Here is a 21,116-nt window from a genome sequence, read left to right as displayed (position 1 = left end):
GCACAGAGAGGAACATGTGGCCCAGATCGCCACAGAGAAAGTAACCTCTAAATGCTGACACCTAAAAGATAAGTAGCAATCATTAAGCCAAAGCAGGTGGGCGAGAGATGCTGTGATTTATTTGGAATAAACCTAGAACAGAGAATGCAAGGGGAAGAAGTAGCCAAAGGGGAGGTAAGAGATGCCAGGGGAAGATCACATAGGGATCGTGTTAGAAGGTTTGTCTTTATCCTGGGAGAAATCGGGAGTCACTGAAGTAATTTAAGCAAGGAAGGGACATGATCAGATTTGCATTTTAGAAATATCAAATAGTGATTTAAACCAGGGGAGTGGTAGTGGAGATGATGAGAAGTAGCAGAATTTAAGAATCATTTAGGAGGCAGAATTTATAGATCATGGAAACTGAATGAATGAGATGGATGAGAGAGGGGGGGAAGTCAAGATCAAGCTGCAGGTTTCTAGTACAAGCAAGTGGGAGAATGGAGGTGCCATTCCTGAGCTAGAGCACGTAGAAGAAAAACAGGTTTGGAGAAAGTGGGAAGACAATGATTTTGTTTGAGCTGGTTGAATCTGAGTCACCTGTAGGACATCCAAGTGTAGACAGATGTCCATCACATGGTTGTGCATTTGGGTCTGGAGCTCAGCAGAAAATCTGGGATTTGGAAGGCATCAGCATAGAGATGGCTGTGAAAGCCATGAAAGTCAGGGGGTGGGCAGGGGGTGTAAACTGGTTAGTTGATGGATTAATTGGTTGGTTTAAAGGTAATACAGACAGTTAATACTAGCTCTCCAGCTGAAGAATCAGAGCACATTTCAAGAAGATCAGTTTAACATTCCAAGGCTAGAGCTTAACCAAGACCACGCTAACTCTGTTCAAGGGCCTAGAGCCGCACTGCCCAACACAGCAGCCACTAGCTGCATGTGCTTTCTTAAATTTAAATGAATTTAAATTTAATTTAAAACTCACTTCCTCAGTCATACCTGCCACCTTTCCCATGCTTGATAGCCACATGTGACTAGTGACTACCATATTTGGCAGCACAGATATTATGGAACATTTCCAACATCACAGATAGGTCCATTGGACAGTGTTGCCCTAGTTATTTGCATTGTCAAAATTAAGAGCTGACGCAAACACCACAAGCATTGTGCAGCTTAAATTAGCAGAGGAGGGCAGCAAGATGATGCATGTCCTTTCCAAGCCACTCATCACCCAAGAAAAATATACTTAAACCAGGCACCCCAGATGCAGCCTGTCTTGTGCTCCAGGAGAAGGAGCCCCTGCAGCTCTGCCTTTTGCTATAGACTTTGAGACTGAGAGCAGGCGGCAAAACCTAACCAAGGATGTGACTGGAGGCTTTTGTGGGAAGGAAGCCTCTTAGTGGAGATGAATCTCCTGCCAGCTGATCAAGGGTCCCCCTTCCAGGGTTCTAGAGGAAGTGAGCCATGGAAATTCCTTAGGCAGGGTAGAAGCCCTGTGCCCAGTGGCTTGTTGCCAGGAACCCAGAGAGATTCAGGTCATTCGGGGGACAGTACTACCAGGGCCTTCTCAATGATAAAGCACATTCTATGCTTCTTTTCTAAATTAAGCTTTAAACCTTTATTGACAATGTTATATTAATGATATAAAAAGTTAGACTCACAGGACATTGGAAGTCATCTGGTTTTCTCCTGACACAGCTGGGAGAGATGACCCTTCCTCTGCTGATGGTCCTCCAGTGACCTCCCCAGTGGAGGATTTATAATTTAGATAGATGTGTGTGTGCATGCGTGAGTGCGTGTGTGTGTGTGTGCGAGGGAGAGAGAAAGAGAGAGAGAGAGGCTCTCTACTGGTTCTGTTTCTCTGAAGAACATTGAATAATACACAGATAATATCCAGTTCAACCACATTCTATTTAATAGCTACATGGCAATCCAAATCCATGTTGATGGATATTTGCGCTGTTTGTTACAGTGCCACAGTGAACATTCTCAGTCATGTCTCAGTGTGTGCAAATGCACTTTTAAAATGCATTGTAGAAGTGGAGTTGCTGGATCAAAGGGCATGGACATTTAAATTTCATTAGGTGTTGCCAATTTCCTTTCCAAAAAGTTGCACCAATTTACATGCTACTAACCAGGAATAAGAATGCCTGTTTTTCCATGTAAGAAGTGGTTGGTTGGTTGCTTAGTTTGCTGGTTGAAGATGGGCAACACTTAAGCATGCTTAAAACAATGAAATGAAAGAAAGGGGCAGGAGAAATAGAGAAAGAGAAGATTATAGAAAGGGAGAAGCTAGAGGAGAAAGAGCACAGAGTGCATGTGCAGGGATTCACCCTGGAGAGGAGGAGGGACTCTCCTTCCATCACAACAAAAAGAGGAGAATGGGGTGGAGCTAGTCAGTTTGTAAGTTTGGTGGCAGGAAGAGGCTTTTATTTTTTCTGAAAGGTAAAAGGCATGAGTGGTTGCTTAAAGTGATGGTGGAGGAATTAGGTTGGGAGGTTGGTACAGAATAAATATTAAGGTAACCACCATGAAGAATAGGAGGGAAAGTTGACTGGTAAAACAAAGAATGATTTCCAAGCAGCATTTAAGTCTGATCGTTTATTTTTAGCCAAACACAAGTTTTCAAAAACACTTCCACTCAGTCTCCATCAATACATCCCTCCCTCCTAACAGAACACAATGGAGGAGCCACTTGCAGGCAGGCCACCATCTGAGAATCCCTCAAGACCAGGAAGGCAAGTGGGGACCTTCCCAAGCATGGAAGTTAAGCCCCCACTGCAGGGTTTTTTGTGTACCAGAGGCATCCATGTTCTCCTAACTCTATAACCAAGGGCCTCTCTCCACTTGGTTACAGAGGCACCTATGGTGTGGTTTCAGGATGTCCTCAAAACATCTCCCCCATCACTCCCGAAAATTCACCTCAGAGAACTAAGAGTTGGTCCTTGCTTCTTGCTGAGGTACACAACAGATGCCCACTGCAGCCTATATTCCTTAGTAAGGACTAAGATCCCTTAGTCCAGTCCTATTGTCCAGCCCTCTCTCCAACAGTTCATCCCATGCTAACTCTGATGGTGCCGCTGCACTCCAACCTGGGCTACAGAGTGAGACCTTGTCTGAAAAATAAATAAAAAATAAGACACCTATCAATGACCCCCTGCGACAGTGCAGCAGTGGGGGAAGGACCTCGTAGGCAGGTTGTCTATGTGCTGCCAAGGGCAGGTCAGAAGGAGGGACCCTAACAAGCTGCCTTCGCCTTGAAGCTCCGTGTTTCACTGTTTGGCCCTGCCAACACATAGAAATTAGATACCCACATGTTTTTTCAAATTAACAAACCTAAAATTGTATTTATTTACTTTTCAATGAATTTGAATCCTCCAGTGGTACAGCATCACATGGATTCTGTGCCCAATGGCCTTAGCAGGAGGGTGGCTTTGGAACTTGGCACAAACCACGCTGTTCTTTCCTTGGGCACAAGTTACCTTTCCCCAGATGACTCTGGTTTTGTTTGATTTGCTGCCAGGGCCACTGTGTTGTTCTTTGCACACATAAGTACATCTGTTTCCCAAATAAAATTCAGTTTCATCTCGGGCATAAACACCTTCAATTTCAAGAACAGTTGTGTGCTCCCTCTGGTTCCAGAAATGTCACTTCTAGCAAAAGTGGCCTCAGGGCACAGCCCTGCAGACATGTTTGCTGTTTCAGAAGCCCTGTTCCCATGGGCCTCTCCAGGCTCCAAGAGGGCAAAAAGAATGAATTTGATATCTTTTGATAGAATAAGAATCTCTGTTTCATTAGAGAAGAACAAAGTACTATCTTATACAATGTATCCCAAAATAAACTGTTTTAATTGCTGAATCTAAGACGTAGTGATACATGTAGTCCTAAATCTTACTCCAATTCCTTAAAACTAGCTTGAATTTCCAGAAGGTTGGTGTCCTACTATTTGTGATGAAAAATTAACACTACAAAAAAAATAGCTCCACTAATAATTCCACCAGCGAAAAATTACTTCACTTCTCACTATTGAGATTTTGAAAGACTGCGTATCTGTTTACCTGGACATCTTCCTAAATTTCATAATTAATCCTCAAATGATGTAAGTAAAAGTTCTGCAGGTCAGTAGGAGGAAACAGAATTGAATTTTATAAAGTATTAAGATTTCTCAAGATACGGCCAAAGGCCATACTCCCTTGGGCTCTGGAGGATCATGTTCTCAGGAAAAGTAGAGTTAGGGTTGGAGAGAACTCAAAAAGGATATGAGGGGTGTAGCAGGATGTGGTCATTGCGATTTAGGAGGCCTCACCCCCCTTGAGTCAGTAATAATTATAATACTGAACACTCCTGGGGTACTTTTGAAACCTTAGAAGCCCCTCAAGGCCCCACCATGGGTCCAGTGCACTGCGTTGCTGAGAAAGGTCATTTTTACAAATATCACGTAACCTGATGTGCTCTGAGGTGGTGGACAGCATGGGGGAGGAGGAGCTCCATCCTGACTGAGTGCTAAGTGTTGCAGTCATACCCTCCTCACTGAGGGTACTGTGCGTCCACTCTGCCTGTCCACAATTGACAGCAGGGCAGTCAGTGAGCCTCTGAAGACACAGTCTGAACACACACACCTCTACCTGAACATTTGAATGGCCCCACATCACTCTTAGAACAAAGGCCGAATACCTAATATGGTCTTTGTAACTTGGTATCTGTCTTAGTCCATTTGAGCTGCAGTAACAAAGTATCTTAGACTGCGTAACTACCAAAAAAAAAAAAAAAAATTATTGGTCACAGTTCTGGAAGCTGAGAAGTCCAAGATCAAGGCACTGGCAGATTTGGTGTCTGGTGAGGGCCATTTCCTCATATACAGGAGTCTTTTTACTGTAAGCTCACATGGCAGAAGAGAAAAATGAGTTCCCTGGGTGCCTTTTATAGGCACTAATTCCATTCATGTGAGCTTCTCTTAATACTCGTTTGGATTAGGTTTCAACATATGACTGGAGGCAAGGGAACATTCCCATCAGAGGGGTATCTGACTTCTGCCCACTTTCCCACTTCACCTTCCCCATCCTGCTCCTGCCACTCTGTCCTTTTATGAGCTCCTCAAGCATTCCAGATGGGCATCGTCCCACGGCAGAGTTCTGCACATGCTGCCCCCAACCCAGGGCGCTCTCCCTTCCCCACCTCCTTGCCTTGCCGAAACTTTAGGAAGCTCATTTATCTTGACTGGATTGCTTAATATTAGTCTAATGTTTAAATTGTCCAGTTGAGATAACAGGGTCCCCTTTAGTGCCATGAGTCTATGATTATTCTCTTTTTCTGGAGGACAGAGATGCAAAAGTTAAAGTAATCAAACTACTGTTAAGTTATAGAGAATAAAATTCAAGAGTAAACCTTTACTGTGTTAGGGGTAGAAATTTGCATGTTAATTATATGCTGTACTGGTGGGGAATGAAGCCAAATGTTACATTTATAAAGGATGGTACAGCACTATGCCATTGATTCATGTTTCAAGCGTTTATTGAGAGCCTGTGATGTACCTGTGCCAGGTATTAGGAAATAACACAGTGAGCAAAACAGACATGGGCCTTGCCCATATGGAGATCACAGCTCAGTGGGAGAGGAAGACGTTAATCAAATAATCATACACATAACTGCACAACTGCCTATTGTGATAAATTCTCAAGGGAAAGGTTCTGAGAGAGGTAAACTAGTCTGGGTGGCAAGCTTACTGAGAAACAGACCGTTAAGCTGAGACCTAAAGCAGGAGTGTGAAACAAGGCAAAGGGACCAGCCAGTGCCACCACTGCCTTGCAGGAAGCCCACAGCCTACCTTCCTACCAACACACAGAGCCCACCCGACGCGGCCAGAGCCAAACACAGCCATGCTCTCCTTCTCTCCACATCGACAGAAACACGTGCACATCCACACCCAAAGTGGGCAAGTAGACGTAGCCCAACAGAAGGAGAAACCCCACATGGATTACTCATCTCATCTTACCACAATCAACACAAAATTAAACACAGCAGTGCATCCACACTCTTATTATGACTTCCTTTTTTATTGAACTTTTAGTTTTTCTGTTATAAATATTATGAACTTTTTACAAATTCAACTCTTTCAATGAACTATAATTATCATTTTCAGGGCCACGTTCACATTTCCAAAGGCAGGCAGGAGCTCTCTAGGTCAATGCCTATGTCCTTTCATCACGGTTCCTAAACCACTTGAAATCATTATTTTGCTCCAGATCAATCCTGAGGTTTTCTCTGATTAAGACAGGAAATCAGCTTCCCTGTAAGGGGCCCTGGCTCCTTATAGAGACCAAATTCTGAGCAAAGGGGGACACACAAGAGAGTGAGCAACGGCCAAGCACCCCCACTACTCTCCTGTATCGTTAGCAGTGCTAGAGTGAAGGTACATCTTTGAGGACTTGCATTCTCAATAATGCTCTGATTTAACAGACCATGTTGTTGTAACCTACTTTTCTGATAGGATGAGATTTCACTGACCATAAGATTTTTTCTTTTCTGCTCTTTCTTTCCTCAGGGAAACTGAGGCTGAGAGAGCCTGTATGACATGTCCAGGATGCCATCAGCAAGCAGTGGGATGCTATTTCAAACCTGGTCTAATCACAAAGCTTGTGTCCTCTCTATTACAAACCATTTTGTGGAACAGAAGCTACAGTTCTGGTCATTCATTTATTTATCCCATAAATCAATCTTTCTTTATAGCTTACGACTCACCTTCTTCCCTTCTCCATCCTGTCTCATGGTCGTAAGATGATCGAAGTAGGTCCTGTCCTTCCTGAACACGCTGCCAAACTTCTTTTAATTTTTAAATATGTGAATAGAGACAGGGTCTCACTATGTTGGCCAGGCTGGTCTCGAACTTCTGGACTCAAGCAATCCTCCTGTCTCTGCCTCCCAAATTGTTGGGATTATAGGCATGAGCCACCGTGCCCAGCCCACACTGCCAATGATGAGAAGAAAATGTTCCTAGAATGGCATTCAAGGAATCTTTTCAAGAAAAAGCACTTTTATAAATTATTTTTATGCATTAATGAATTATTCTCTCAGGTAATCACATTGGCTCACATTTCAAGGTCAAGATCAGGATGAGGAGTAGAGGATAATAACAATGGATATCATCTGGGCAGTGTATACCAGTAGAGCAACAGTAAATGAGGATCCAAACCCTGACAAGCTCTGATTATCAGAATAAATGACCTGCTCCTTCCTTGCAGAATTGGCCTGTGGATCAAATAAGAGCCCAATAGCTCTTAGCCCAGCATCTGGCACAGATCAAACACTTGGAAAATGCCCACCATCATTGGAAGCATTACTTCTTTCTGAACCACCCAGCTTCTTGAGCACCATGTGTACAGTATTATGATTGGAGTTGGAGTTAGTATAAACAAACAATCCTGCCTGTCAAATAGCAAAAATAATGGTTTCAAAAATCACTTTTCTTGAGAGAAACAATGTGTTGTTTTGAGTTAGAAGAAGATGAGCTGACCTAGTGAGGAGAGTGCCAGCGTGGAGGAACGGACCACTTTGGGCCTCCTTCGTGGAGAGCTCCTACCCATCCTCTCTCAGGGCCTAAGAAAAATAAATGAGGCAAAAAGCAATTGAGCTCAGAACTATAGTGGATGAAATCAAATTTAATGGGCATCCTTACCAAGAATTAAGTCAAATGGTTTAAGCATTTAGGATAACTTGCCTTTATCAAAAGTCAAGGGAGATCTTGTTTTTAGTACATTTAAAAAAAAGACTTTACCTCACCCCAATCCCAATTTCCCCCAATACCACACAGTTTACTTACTTTGGTTTCTTCATTCAGAGTGATTATATTCCCAAATTGGGGCCTACTAAAGCCTTTGGAGGCCTTCCATCTGTAAAGATGGAAGATTAAATAAAATTGCAATCAGCTCAGTAGAATGTAATGTTGTAGTAGAGAAAATTAACAGTCCCTGTCCCACATATTATAAAAATCTTCTTTGAAAAAAAGCAGAAGGAAAAAGCTAGTCAAAGCTGATCTAAGTTTCTGTAGACAATGGCACAAATTGATGATAAAGAAGTCCATTCAGTTCCCATTTTCTCAACTGCAGAATAAGTTTGCTGAGGCAGCTCTGAATAACCTAATTAATGACTGCAGACAATTTGATAGAATTTTTAAAATATAATTTAAAAATATATATAACCAATGTCTTTCTATCAAGTTCAAAAGCAGTGTTTGAAATAGGTGCTAGTTCATACATTACAGTGAAAATCTAAGTTATAGTGTTGCATATGTATCTGTTTGCATATATAATATATACATATAGCTGTATGTATATGTAATTATAATTGGTACATCTCTATCATCCATCCACTTGTTCATGTAGGGATTAGCCTCTGAAATTTCTAATAAATGCAATACAAGTTTTGAAACTCCCTGTGAAGCCCCTCTATGAAAAGGAGGCTAGAAAAATTATACACATAAACATACATTTTCCCTCAACACCGTGGGTGTCAAGGGAGTTTGTAATCTGCCTGCTTCTACGGATAAAAAAGAGTAAGTTTTTCACATAAAATCAAACCCCCAAACCTATTCCACTTAAGGGAATGGTATTCATATTTACATTTTCCCCAGATTATAGGAATCCTTACTCAGAAAATTAAACTGAGAGCTAGGCAGGGAATCAGAAAGCCCTGTGATCTAATGAAAGACAACCAACCTTGTAAGAGCGCCATAAAGAGAGACCTCAAAAATGTGAGATAATGGAATCATGCACCTGACATTACAGACATATTTTTGTCACATTTGAAGTATTTTTGAAAAAACTGAACATTCATAAAACTTGACCACTGAATGAACATCAAAAGGAATCTCAGTAAATAAAAACTCAGTATCATTCAGATCAAGTTCCCAAACCATAATAAAATACAATTAAAAATCCAAAACAAATAAAAAATGAACCAACATATTTGGAAAATAAGAAATACATGTCTAAATATTTCATGAGTTAAAGAATAAATCATTTAAAAAATAACAAAATACTGTATTTAGAAATGGATACCAAAGAAAATGCTACATATCATATGGAATGCAGGTAATGCAGAACCTAGAGGGAAAAATTCAGATATATTCAAAAACGAAGAAAAATTTAAAAACTAATGATTTCACAGTCAGTTCAAGAGAAAGCCACAATTGACAAATGGGATCTAATTAAACTAAAGAGCTTCTGCACAGCAAAAGAAACTACCATCAGAGTGAACAGGCAACCTACAAAATGGGAGAAAATTTTTGCAACCTACTCATCTGACAAAGGGCTAATATCCAGAATCTACAATGAACTCAAACAAATTTACAAGAAAAAAACAAACGACCCCATCAAAAAGTGGGCGAAGAATATGAACAGACACTTCTCAAAAGAAGACATTTATGCAGCCAAAAAACACATGAAAAAATGCTCATCATCACTGGCCATCAGAGAAATGCAAATCAAAACCACAATGAGATACCATCTCACACCAGTTAGAATGGCGATCTTTAAAAAGTCAGGAAACAACGGGTGTTGGAGAGGATGTGAGGAAATAGGAACACTTTTACACTGTTGGTGGGACTGTAAACTAGTTCAACCATTGTGGAAGTCAGTGTGGCGATTCCTCAGGGATCTAGAACTAGAAATACCATTTGACCCAGCCATCCCATTACTGGGTATATACCCAAAGGATTATAAATCATGCTGCTATAAAGACACATGCACACGTATGTTTATTGCGGCACTATTCACAATAGCAAAGACTTGGAACCAACCCAAATGTCCAACAACAATAGACTGGATTAAGAAAATGTGGCACATATACACCATGGAATACTATGCAGCCATAAAAAATGAAGAGTTCATGTCCTTTGTAGGGACATGGATGAAACTGGAAACCATCATTCTCAGCAAACTATCGCCAAGGACAAAAAACCAAACACCGCATGTTCTCACTCATAGGTGGGAATTGAACAATGAGAACACATGGACACAGGAAGAGGAACATCACACTCCGGGGACTGTTGTGGGGTGGGGGGAGGGGGGAGGGATAGCATTAGGAGATATACCTAATGCTAAATGACGAGTTAATGGGTGCAGCACACCAACATGGCACAGGTATACATATGTAACTAACCTGCACATTGTGCACATGTACCCTAAAACTTAAAGTATAATAATAATAAAAATAAAATTAAAAAAAGTCATATAACTAATAAATAAAATGGAAAGAATAAATGTAAGAACTGAAATGAATGAAATAAAAAACAAAGATAACTAAATAGATTTAATAGACAGACACAGTAGTTCATGCCTGTAATCCCAGCACTTTGAGAGGCAAAGGCAGGAGGATCATTTGAGACCTGCTTGGGCAACATGGCAAAACCCCATCTTTACCAAAAATATAAAAGTTAGCTGGGCATGGTGGCAATGTGCCTGTGGCCCCAGCTAGTCAGGAGGCTGAGAGGTTGGAGGATTGCTTGAGCCTGGGAGGTCAAAGGCTGCAGTGAGCCATGATCACGCCACTGTACTCCAGCCTGAGCGACAGAGTGAGACACAGTCTCCAAAAACAAAAAAAAAAAAAAAAAAAAGGAAGCTATATAACTAATAAACAAAACAAAGTAGAAGAAAAGAGCTAATAAATGCAGGAACAGAAATGAATGAAATAAGAAAACAAAGATAACTAAATAGAGTTAATAAAACCAAATGCTGGCTCTTGACAAAGACTTATAAAACAAAAACTTCACAAACCTGGCAAATAATAAATAAGAAAAGGCACATATCAACAATAATAAAAAATAAAAATTCAATATAAATACTGGTATAGGAAATTTTAGAACCTCATGAAAGAATACTATGAACAACAATATTATAATAAAAATGTAGATGAAGTACACAATTTTCTAGAGAAATATTTTAAAAACTCAAGAAGAATAAAAAACCTGAAAAGATCTGTTAAGCATTTAGAGACAAACAATAATTTAAAAATTTAATCAATTTTTAAAAAATCAACAACTAGGGGGCAAAGGGGTGAGAGGGGTTTATAGAATAATACTTCAGCATCACAAATTTTGAAGAAGAAAATAATGCATACATTGGGATGAGTGATGGGTTTGCACTGCCAAATGTTAACCCACATTATAAGTATATTAAATCCACACAATAATTATTATAAATGACTAAAATGCATGGTTCCATAACGAAAATAGACTATTCAGCTAAATAAAAGTTACAAAAAAAAATCAACAACAAAAACAATCTTTCAAAATGATATACCCACTTTAGAAGACAGTTTGGCAGCTTCTTACAAAACTAAAAATATTCTTACCATATGATTCAGCAATTGTGCTTCTTGGTATTCACCCATAGGAGCTGAAAACTTATGGCCACACAAAAACCCATAGATGAATGTTCATAGCAGCTTTATTTATCATAATTGCCAAAACTTGGAAGCAACCAAGATGACCTTCAGTAGGTCAATGAATAAAGAAATTGTGGCACATCCAGACGATGAAATGTTCTTCAGTGCTAAAAAGAAATGAGCTACCAAGCCATGAAAAGACATGGAGAAAACAAATTCATATTACTCAGTGAAAGAAGCCAGTCTTAAAAGTCTACATACGACATCATTCCAACTATGCAACATTCTGGAAAAGGCATAATTATGGAGGCAGTAAAAGGATCAGTGGCTGCCAGGGATTGGTAGGAAGAGATGAAAGATGTTAAAGAAGAAATCATTTTCAACAGCACAAAGACTTTTTGGGACAGGGTAACTATTATGTGTGATACTACAATGGTGAATATATGAATATATGTCATTACACATTTGTCCAAACCCATAGTATATACAACACCAAGGGTGAACTCTAATGTAAACTATATACTTTGATTGATAATGATGTGCCAATGTGGGCTCATCAGTTGTAATAAGTGTTCCACTCTGATGCAGGATGTTGATAGTGGGAGAGGCTGAGGAAATATGAGAATTTCTGTACCTTCAGCTCAGTTTTGCTATGAACCTAAAACTGATTTAAAAAATAAAGTCTATTTAAGAGGGAAAGAAAAGATCAACAATCTTTGAAGGCTTTACAATTGTTTTACTAATCCTTTGAAGAAAGATAACAAAGATCTTAAATAAAACATTAACAATCTAAAACTGGCAATGTACTACATTTTTAAATTTAGGTTTTATTCCAAGAATGAAATAATGGCTTAACTTCAGAAAATCTATCAACGTAGAAACTAGCTTAACAGTTAAAAAAGAAAAAACATATAATTATTTCAATAGCTGTAGAAAACACACATAACAACTTTAAAGCCCATTCGTAATTGGAAAATAAACTCTTAGCAAAGTAGGAAGAGAAGTTAAAGCTCATGATTTCATCAAAGATGTTCTCTAAAAGATTACAAAAACATTTAATGATGACATATTAGAAGAATTACCTTACAATCGGCCGGGTAGACACCTGTAGTGGTCTCACACCTGTAATCCTAGCACTTAGGGAGGCCGAGGCGGGCGGATCACCTGAGGTCAGGAGTTCGAGACCAGCCTGACCAACATGGAGAAACCCTGTCTCTACTAAAAATACAAAATTAGCCAGGCATGGTGGCTCATGCCTGTAATCCCAGCTATTCAGGAGGCTGAGGCAGGAAAATCGCTTGAACCCAGGAGGCAGAGGTTGCCGTGAGCCGAGATCGAGCCATTGCACTCCAGCCTGGGCAACAAGAGTGAAACTCTGTCTCAAAAAAAATAAAAATAAAAAATAATTACCTTACAATCAAGAAAAATTTAAGGATTTTCAATATCGTCCCTTCTATTTAACTCAAGGTTTTAGCCAGGAAAATAAGGCCAGGAATAAATATAAAATGTATAAGGTTTGGAAAGGAAGAAACAATCTTGCCATTAATTGCAAACAGCAAGAATGTTTACAATGCTTTCTGTTGTTGGGTAACAAATAACCGCAAATTTAGCAGTTTAAAAAACCCACATTTATTATGTCACAGTTTTGTAGGTCAGAAGTCAGTATCTCTATACAGGGTGTCAGTAGGCTGAAATCAAGGTGGGGCTGAAATCAAGGCGGAGGCCCTACTTCTGCTCTCAGCTGGAGCTCATGATCCTCTTCCAAACTCATGTGGTGGCAGAATTCAGTTCCCTGGGATGATAGGAGTGAGGCTTCCGTTTTCTGATGGTTGTTGCCTGGGGCCTGCTCTTGGCCCCCGGAAGCCGCCTGCAGTCCCTTGCCACTTGGCCTACACTGTCACAGCTTACTTGTTCAAAGCCACCAGGAGAATCTCTCCCTTCGGTCACCTAGAACTGTCTTAAATGGTACAGCATAATAATGGGAGTGACTATCCCATCATATTAACAGGTTCTACTGACACTCAAGGGAAGGGAATTATATGGGGTATGTACATCAAGAGGTGAAAATCTTGGAGGCCTTCTTAAAATTTTGACTACCTTAGTATAGAAAATCCAAGAGAGTTTTATAATCTATTATAAGTAAGATGATAGTTTGACCAGGTGCGGTGGCTCATGCCTGTAACCCCAACACTTTGGAAAGCCGAGGTGGGAGGACTGCCTTATCCCAGGAGTTTGAGATCAGCCTGAGCAATATAGTGAGACCCCCATCTCTACAAAAAATAAAAAATTAACCGGGTGTGGTGGCTCGTGCCCATAGTCCCAGCTACTTGGGAGGCTGAGGTGGGAGGATTGCTTGAGCCTGGGAGGTCAAGGCTACAGTGAGCTGTGATCATGTCACTGCACTCCAGCCTGTGTGACAGAGTGAAGCCTTGTAGACCCTGAAGCTGGTGTGCAGTGGTGCAATCACAGCTCACTGCAGACTCAACCCCCCGGGTTTAAGTGATCCTCCCACCTCAGCCTCCCGAGTAGCTGGGACTACAGGCACAAGTCACCATGCCCAGCTAATTTTCTTTTTCTTTTTTGTAGAGATAGGATGGCACTTATGGTGCCTAAGCTGTTCTCAAAGTCCTGGCCTCAAGTGCTCTGACAGCCTCAGCCTCCCAAAGTGCTGGGATTACAGGTGTGAGCCAATGCACCCCACCCAGATTTTTTTTCATGAAACTTTTCAAGTACATCCTCAAATTAATGCAAGGAATAAACAGAAAAGAACAGCTAAGAAACAAAAATTGAAGAGGAAAGAGGAGGAGGAGGAGCGGGGAGAGTCAGAGACTCACTCTTCCAGATAATATAACTTATTATGAAAGCTAGAGATATTAGAAGGACATCATAGCACGGAATGATCCAGAAAGACAGACCAAGGAACACATCTAGGTGCAGTTCCTCATACATGTGAAAACTCCATTATTTATTTATCATACTTGCCTCCAATCGCTCAATTTAAATATACCAGCCATTTTCTCCTGGGACACTGACAGGTACACCTGGTACAAATTCTACTTTTAATGTGGTTTACCCCTTTAGGAAAGTTACTTCACCTGTTTTACTTCAATTACTTGATCTATAAATGGTACTGCTGTGGGAATTAATTGTGATGATCTATACAAGCTCCTCAGCACAGCTGCCAGCATGGTGAGCAATAGCAAATGGTTGTTATTATTGTCATGGTGGTTTTTATTATTGCTGTTACTACTACTATTTCTTCATTGCTTTGCAGGGCTCTGAGTAGCACCTTACCATAGTTAGGCAAAATGTCATATTAGTTAGGATTCTCCAGAGAAACAGGCCAAGAGGATATATAGAGATATATAGAAAGAGATTTATTATGAGGGATTGGCTCATGGATTACAGAGGCTGAGAAGTCTCCAGATCTGCCATCTGCAAGCTGGAGATCCAGGAAACCCAGTGTGGTTTCTTCCAGTCCAAGTTCCCCAAGAACCAGGAGAGCTGGTGTTTGACGGCAGAAGGTGGATGTCGCAGCTCAGACAGCAAATTTGCCCTTCCTCTGTCTTTCTGTTTTATTTGGGCCCCCAACAGATTGGATGATGCCCACTCGCATTGTTGAGGGCACTCTTCTCCAGTCAGCCCACCAACTCAAATGCTAATCTCCTTCAGAAACACCCTCATAGGCACACCCAGAAGTACTATTTTACCAGTGAGCTGGGCATCCCTTAGCTCCATCAAGTTGACACATAAAATTAACCATCACAAACACCAAAGCTGAACTTAAGACAGGACAGCTAAAACATAATTTGCTATCAGACTTAAAGAATTTCTCAGAATTTTTCATCCTTCCCAGAAGGTCACCATCATATTAGTGAATGTTGAACACTCTTTGCAAAGTACAAAAATATAGGTGGATATCTTCTATCCACCAATCATGAATGGGTCAGTCCAGTTCATCTCCTGCAACAAGAGAAGACTTTCTTTTTTGCAAGGCTGGGCTGCACTAATTACATTCCACAGACACTTGCAGGTGTGTCAGCCACAGCAGTCAGGGATGCTCTTACAAATGCAGGTCTCCACAAACAGCAGCCAACACAAACCACCAGGTAAAGGCCAGCCAGTATGCACTCCTGCACCTGTGAGCACCTCTGCTGGCTGCAGGCCTCATCAGACAATTCTACCAGCCAGGAATGATGACATTGGTTGTTATATACCTAATGACTCTCACATTCCAGCAGAGTGTCCCTCCTTTTAAGTTCAGTTGTACATATACGTTTTTTAAGATACTACAAGTTGCAACACAGAGTAAACATTTTAATTGGTATGACACTGAACTATTCAAAGAAAATTATGCAATAGAAAATGTGAGAAAACAATGTAGTAAACACTTGGTTACCTGTGCCATAGACAGAGATGGAAAATGCTAAACTGCAGTTATTTTCAAAACATGTATATTGTTCTTATTTTATTTTTATGGGATATTTCTTTCTAATCACCTTTAGTTATATTTGCATGGGTCTAAGACCTGTTAGAGTGGTACAGTCTTAGGCCACATGAAGAGTGAGGGGGAAACCGACTGGAAGGAGGCACTGAAGCATTTCTGGGGTGATGGGTGGGACCTGTATCTTGACTAGGGTGCTGATGGCGTGGATTATACAATTGCTTAAACTCTTGGAAGTGCATATTTAAGATCTGGGCATTTCTCTGTAGGTATTAACTCAATTTTTTAAAAAGGTCACAGGTGCAGGGACAAAAAAGTTAATACACAAATTCTAAGAGATTATACTTGAAGGTACATCCCACTAATCTATTTCTTTATGTGATGGAATAAAATCTTGAAATATTAAGCAAATTGATCCGAACTCCCCTGGAGTTTACTAAAAATGGCTGGTGAAAGGAAGTGACTCGGAGACCTGTGAGTGGCAAAGAGGAGCCAACTGAGGATTAGGCCTTTGCTGGGAGTAAACCACCCACATAATTATAGGGTCAATGCCTCAATTACCTGTGCTTATTCAGAGTGGTGTTGACCTGGTGGCATCCTAGCCTTTCTGGAATATGCTTCAGCTCCTAAGGGATTTTGATTTTTTATCAGCATGTGCCCAAAGCCTCTGGGGTTACCCCTAAGGGCCAAAATACAATTAGATCTATTCTCCCTGGTAGCTGAACAAGAAAATAGAGATTATCAACTGACAGCTTGATGTGAATCTCAATGGATGTCTCAGGTGATGTGCCCCAGGGATCTGTGCCAAACATTTGTACTGACACTTTGGATGGGGGCACAGAAGGTGGGTTTACCAAATGAGCAGAAGCCACAAACCTGGGCAAGACGACCAAGATGGGCCAGGGGCTCACATTTCACATCACCTGAAAAGGGACATTGACTAGGCCCAAGCCAATAAATTAAACTAAATTTAAAATAAACTGCCATTAGGTCAAAAGAGCAACTGCCAAGTACAGGGTGGAGGTGGGAAACCTGACCTGACAGAAGTTAATGGAGACGCCCTGTGGTTTTAACTGGTCACACATGCATTATAAGCCAGTGTTGTGGAGCAGTTAGTTAAAAGTTGAATACATTGATCGACAGACCCACAACCTCAATACGGAGGATCTCCTTCAGCTTAAGATGCAGCATGTTCAGAGTGACGCTGTCGAACTGGAGCATGAGCCCAGAGGGGTACCAGGATGGTGGGATGTAGACACCTTGTCTACTATAAACATTTTAGGAAATAGCATTGTTCAGCCTGAAAGAGAGTAGACAGTGGTGACCAACCATTCCAGTTTTCCTGGGACTGAGGGAGTTTCCAGACCCAGAACTTTTAGTTTTAAATCCAGGATACTCTCTGGCAGACCAGGAGAAGCTGATCACCATAGGTCAAGATGAGAATGAGAAAGAGGTGCCAGGACACATTTGGACCAGGACACAGACTCTGATTTCCAAAGGTTGGAGGGGCTTATTCTCAGTCACACTACACAGGACCAGGGCAACTGTAGAAGTGACCCAGAGGCAGAGCTGGATGCAAGATAAGGCCGGTTCTGAGGCTCCCAAGGAGCTTTCATGGATGAGTGAGCAGCACGCACCAGGTCTGCCTGAGAAGGAGCTCGTAACTCTGAGTATGAAGACGCCTTAAACACACATGTACACCAGAAAATGCATCATGATCAAAACCTCTACGTTCAGGGATGCTTTTAAAGGAATCCATATTCTATCTATCACAACAGTGTCTTGATACATTTGAAAGTGCTTGAACACGTGGTATGGGAGATGTGGGATTTATTCTTTCTGTACAAAATGCTCAGGCCTCAGTTCCCATGCAAGCACTCTGACCCCGCTACCCACCCAGCTCACCTTTTGAGTTTTCAGCTTCAGGGGAAAGGGTGAGGCTGAATGGTGCCCCAAGATTCCTTTCAACTCTGAGATTCTATCATTTATCAATACTATACATATTTTTCTTTGTAATGTATGTTGTTTTCCTCTGGTACTTGTTTCCAGTGCTGAGGTGTTCTAGAAACTGACATCAATCAAAATGATAAAGATACAATGTGAAGAGCAGACGTATTTGCAACTCTGAAAAATCAAAACTCTAAGAAGAGGCGTCATGCCTGTTCTCATTCTGATAAGGAAGGCAAAGGAGGAGAACACAGGGAATAGAAGGCAGAGGAGCCCCATCCTGCAGGAGTCACCAGACAGGAGAGGGTGGGCACAGCAGGAGAAGAGGGGGCTCCAACCCCAGCCCAGCCATGGAGAAGCAGCTGTGTTTGCAGGGAAGGGATCGGGGAGGTTGGTGGGGATACAAGCCATGAGAGCCAGGGCCTTGAAAGTGGACAGGTGCCTAAGGCCTGACTCTAGACACCAAAGACAGAGGCCTGGGGACCAGAGCTAGAGAGGTCAAGAGTCCTGATGAGGGCCAGGGAGGTTGGACAGGCCTGGGTGTGAATCCCAGCTCTACCCTTCCTGGCTGTGCGACTTGGGCATGTTACTAAAACCCTCTGAACCTTAGATTCCTCATCTGTAAAATGCCACGTCGAGGGCTTGGCATCGTGCCTGATCTGGAGTCAGTGCTCAGGAAATGTTTGTTCGCGTGGCTGCTAGTCTGCTGATTCTCATCACTGTCATCAGTGGTGGGACACTCACATGTCACTTCCCAGTCACTTCTCTTCTTTCTCAGACTCCGTGCTGATGGAGGCAGAGCCCTTGCAAGTAACAGAAAAATCTAACAAACAGGCAGAGTCTAGTAGGGGGTTTTTCTCACATGAGAGGAAGTCTGGAGTTCAGCAGCTGCTGGGGTTGCCACTGGAGAGGCAGGCTCCTGCTCTCCTCCTGCTCCAACTTGCTCAGTATGGAGCCTGCATTGTAGCACCCTGGCTGCTGCACCTCCAAGCCTAGCATCTGCATTCCAGGAAGGAATAAGGGGAAGGGTGAAGGGCAGAGGACAATAAGAGCACCCCAGCTGAGCCAGACCTCCTTTTAAAGGTTTTCTCAGAAACTCCACACAGAACTCTTGCATGCATGAGCCAGAAGCAGGTCACACAGCTGCCCCTAGCTACAATGGCACTGGCACAGTATTTAGTGAGCACATCACCACCCTACACGACCCTTGGGTCTGGTCAGTAAGTGTCTTAGTCCATCTGGGCTGCTGTAACAGAATACCATAGACTTGGGTGGCTTATACAACAGAAATTTATCACTCACGGTTCTGGTGGCTGGAAATCCAAGATCAAAGTGCCAGCAGATTCAGGTTCTGGTGAGGACCCACTTCATGGTTCACAGGGCCTTTTTGCTGTGTCCTCGCGTGATGGAAAAGATGAGGTGCCACTCTCGGGCCTCTTTCATACAGCCACTAATCACCCCTCAAAGGCCCTACCTCCTAATCCATCACTTTGAGTGTTAGGACTGAAATATGTTAATTTGTGGGGAACACAAAACTCAGACCATCACAGTAAGGGAGAAATGGAGAAGGGATACTGTGGAAACAGAGAGCACGGTCTGCCTCGGCCTCCTTCTCTGGACACATCCACTTGTCACTTCTCCAGCTCTCATTGGTACTTGGGGGACTAAAAATCCCTCAGTCCTAACAGCATGGTCTGAGTGTGCAGTCTCAATCAGGAGGCTAAGGCCATCAGGAGGAGAGGTGAGTGCAGGCCACGGGGCTGAGCCTTGACAAGGAGCTCTAGGACTCCCAAAGCAAAAGTGGTCACAGTTAGCACTGGGCTCCAGAAAGTTGTGTGTATGAAAAGCAGCACAGTTGGAAACAGAAAATGACTGGGTTTAAGTGTTTTTTTCTCAAGACTTTGGTGCAATTGGCCTAACTGTTAAAAAGCATGTTGTACCAGCCCCTCTGTTCTAAAAACAGAAACAAAATGACTGAAGAATGGTTCAAGAGGAAGTAGGCCTTACACAGAGTGGGTAATACTACATGGTTTGTGTAAGGATTAAGAAATACAAAAGAGCTGGTCCTGGTTACACAGTGCCTCATTCACTATTCTAATAATTCTGACTCCCTGTCTCCCTGTGACTGGAAGGTATCAGTGATGTACCCACATTAGCCTGGCTGCCTTCCAGGACCTCAAGCCCCAGAGATGAGGAAATACAGAAAGATGGTTTTTCCATCACCTCACCTGCAATTTCCTAAACCAGTGCTTCTTGCAGTCTGGTCTGACTGGCAGCAACAGCACCACCTGGGTACATGTCAGAAATGCAGAATCTTGGGTCCATCCCAGACCTACGGAGTGAGAATCTCTGGGGGAGAGGCTCAGTCGTCTGTTTCAACAAACCCTCCTGGGGATGATGATTCATGCTCAAGTCTCAGAACCACCAGCCTAGATCGTATCTTTTTTTTTTTTTTTACTTTGAAATGGAGTCTCACTCTGTCACCCAGGTTAGAGTGCACTGGCATGATCTCGGCTCACTGCAACCTCCGCCTCCCGGGTTCAAGTGATTCTCCTGCCTCAACCTCCCAAGTAGCTGGGATTACAGGCATGTGCCACCATGCCTGGCTAACTTTTGTATTTTTAGTAGAGGCGGGGTTTCACCATGTTGGCCAGGCTGGTCTCAAACTCCTGACCTCAGGTGATTCGCCTGCATCAGCCTCCCAAAGTGCTGTGATTATAGGCACAAACCACCGTGCCCAGCCAATCATGTCTAATAGCAGGGAAATACTCAGTAAAAATAACAAGTCTATGGTTTTCTAACACATATCACAGGAGAAATATTAAAACCAGTAAAAAGTCAAGTCAGTCTTCTGGATTCTGTAGTATCTAATGTGTTTAAAGAGAGTTTAAGGTATGAGGTGTATTATGAAAACTTTCTATAGGTCTGCAATTAAATCTACAATTTTTAAACTCTAATCACAGCATCTTAGAGCTGTCATGAATGTTATAGCAAGAAATAATCTATTTGCACAAATAGATCTTGTGGCCTGGCGTGCGGGCTCACGTGTGGAATCCCAGCACTTTGGGAGGCTAAGGCAGATGGATTGCTTGTGCCAGGAGTTCAAGATCAGCCTGGGCAACATGGCGAAACCCCATCTCTACTAAAAACACAAAAATTAGCCAGGCATGGTGGCACATGCCTGTAGTCCCAGCTACTCAGAAGGCTGATGGGGAGGATCACCTGAGCCCAGGAGGTGAAGGGTGCAGTGAGCCAAGATTGCACCACTGCACTCCAGTCTGGGTGACAGAGCAAGACCCTATAAAAGAAAACAAAAAAAAAATTATTGAGCTTTTTCATACCAAGTATAGGGACAGGGATAATA

At 42.1% G+C, this 21,116-nt stretch overlaps 1 long non-coding RNA gene and 1 pseudogene across 1 annotated transcript in view, besides 1 other annotated feature; both read right to left on the bottom strand.

The window, feature by feature from the left end:
* LOC100287290 (uncharacterized) overlaps positions 1 to 21,116 on the bottom strand; it is a 52,192-nt gene that overhangs the window by 17,449 nt on the left and 13,627 nt on the right. The window lies entirely within an intron of this gene.
* On the bottom strand, positions 3,299 to 3,734 carry RPL35AP9 (ribosomal protein L35a pseudogene 9; annotated as a pseudogene).
* Positions 6,276 to 6,471: a silencer, noted in NCBI's record as "fragment chr3:158478422-158478617 (GRCh37/hg19 assembly coordinates)". NCBI's record gives its function as "represses an EF-1alpha promoter that drives an FKBP-Casp9 reporter gene in an ReSE screen in HepG2 liver carcinoma cells {active_cell/tissue: HepG2}" and the evidence as "EXISTENCE:reporter gene assay evidence [ECO:0000049][PMID:32094911]".

This window comes from Homo sapiens, chromosome 3, assembly GCF_000001405.40.
Source record: "Homo sapiens chromosome 3, GRCh38.p14 Primary Assembly".
NCBI lineage: Eukaryota > Metazoa > Chordata > Mammalia > Primates > Hominidae > Homo > Homo sapiens.
The sequence above is the reverse complement of the archived record's forward strand: the minus strand, read 5'-3'. Positions and strand labels throughout refer to the sequence as shown.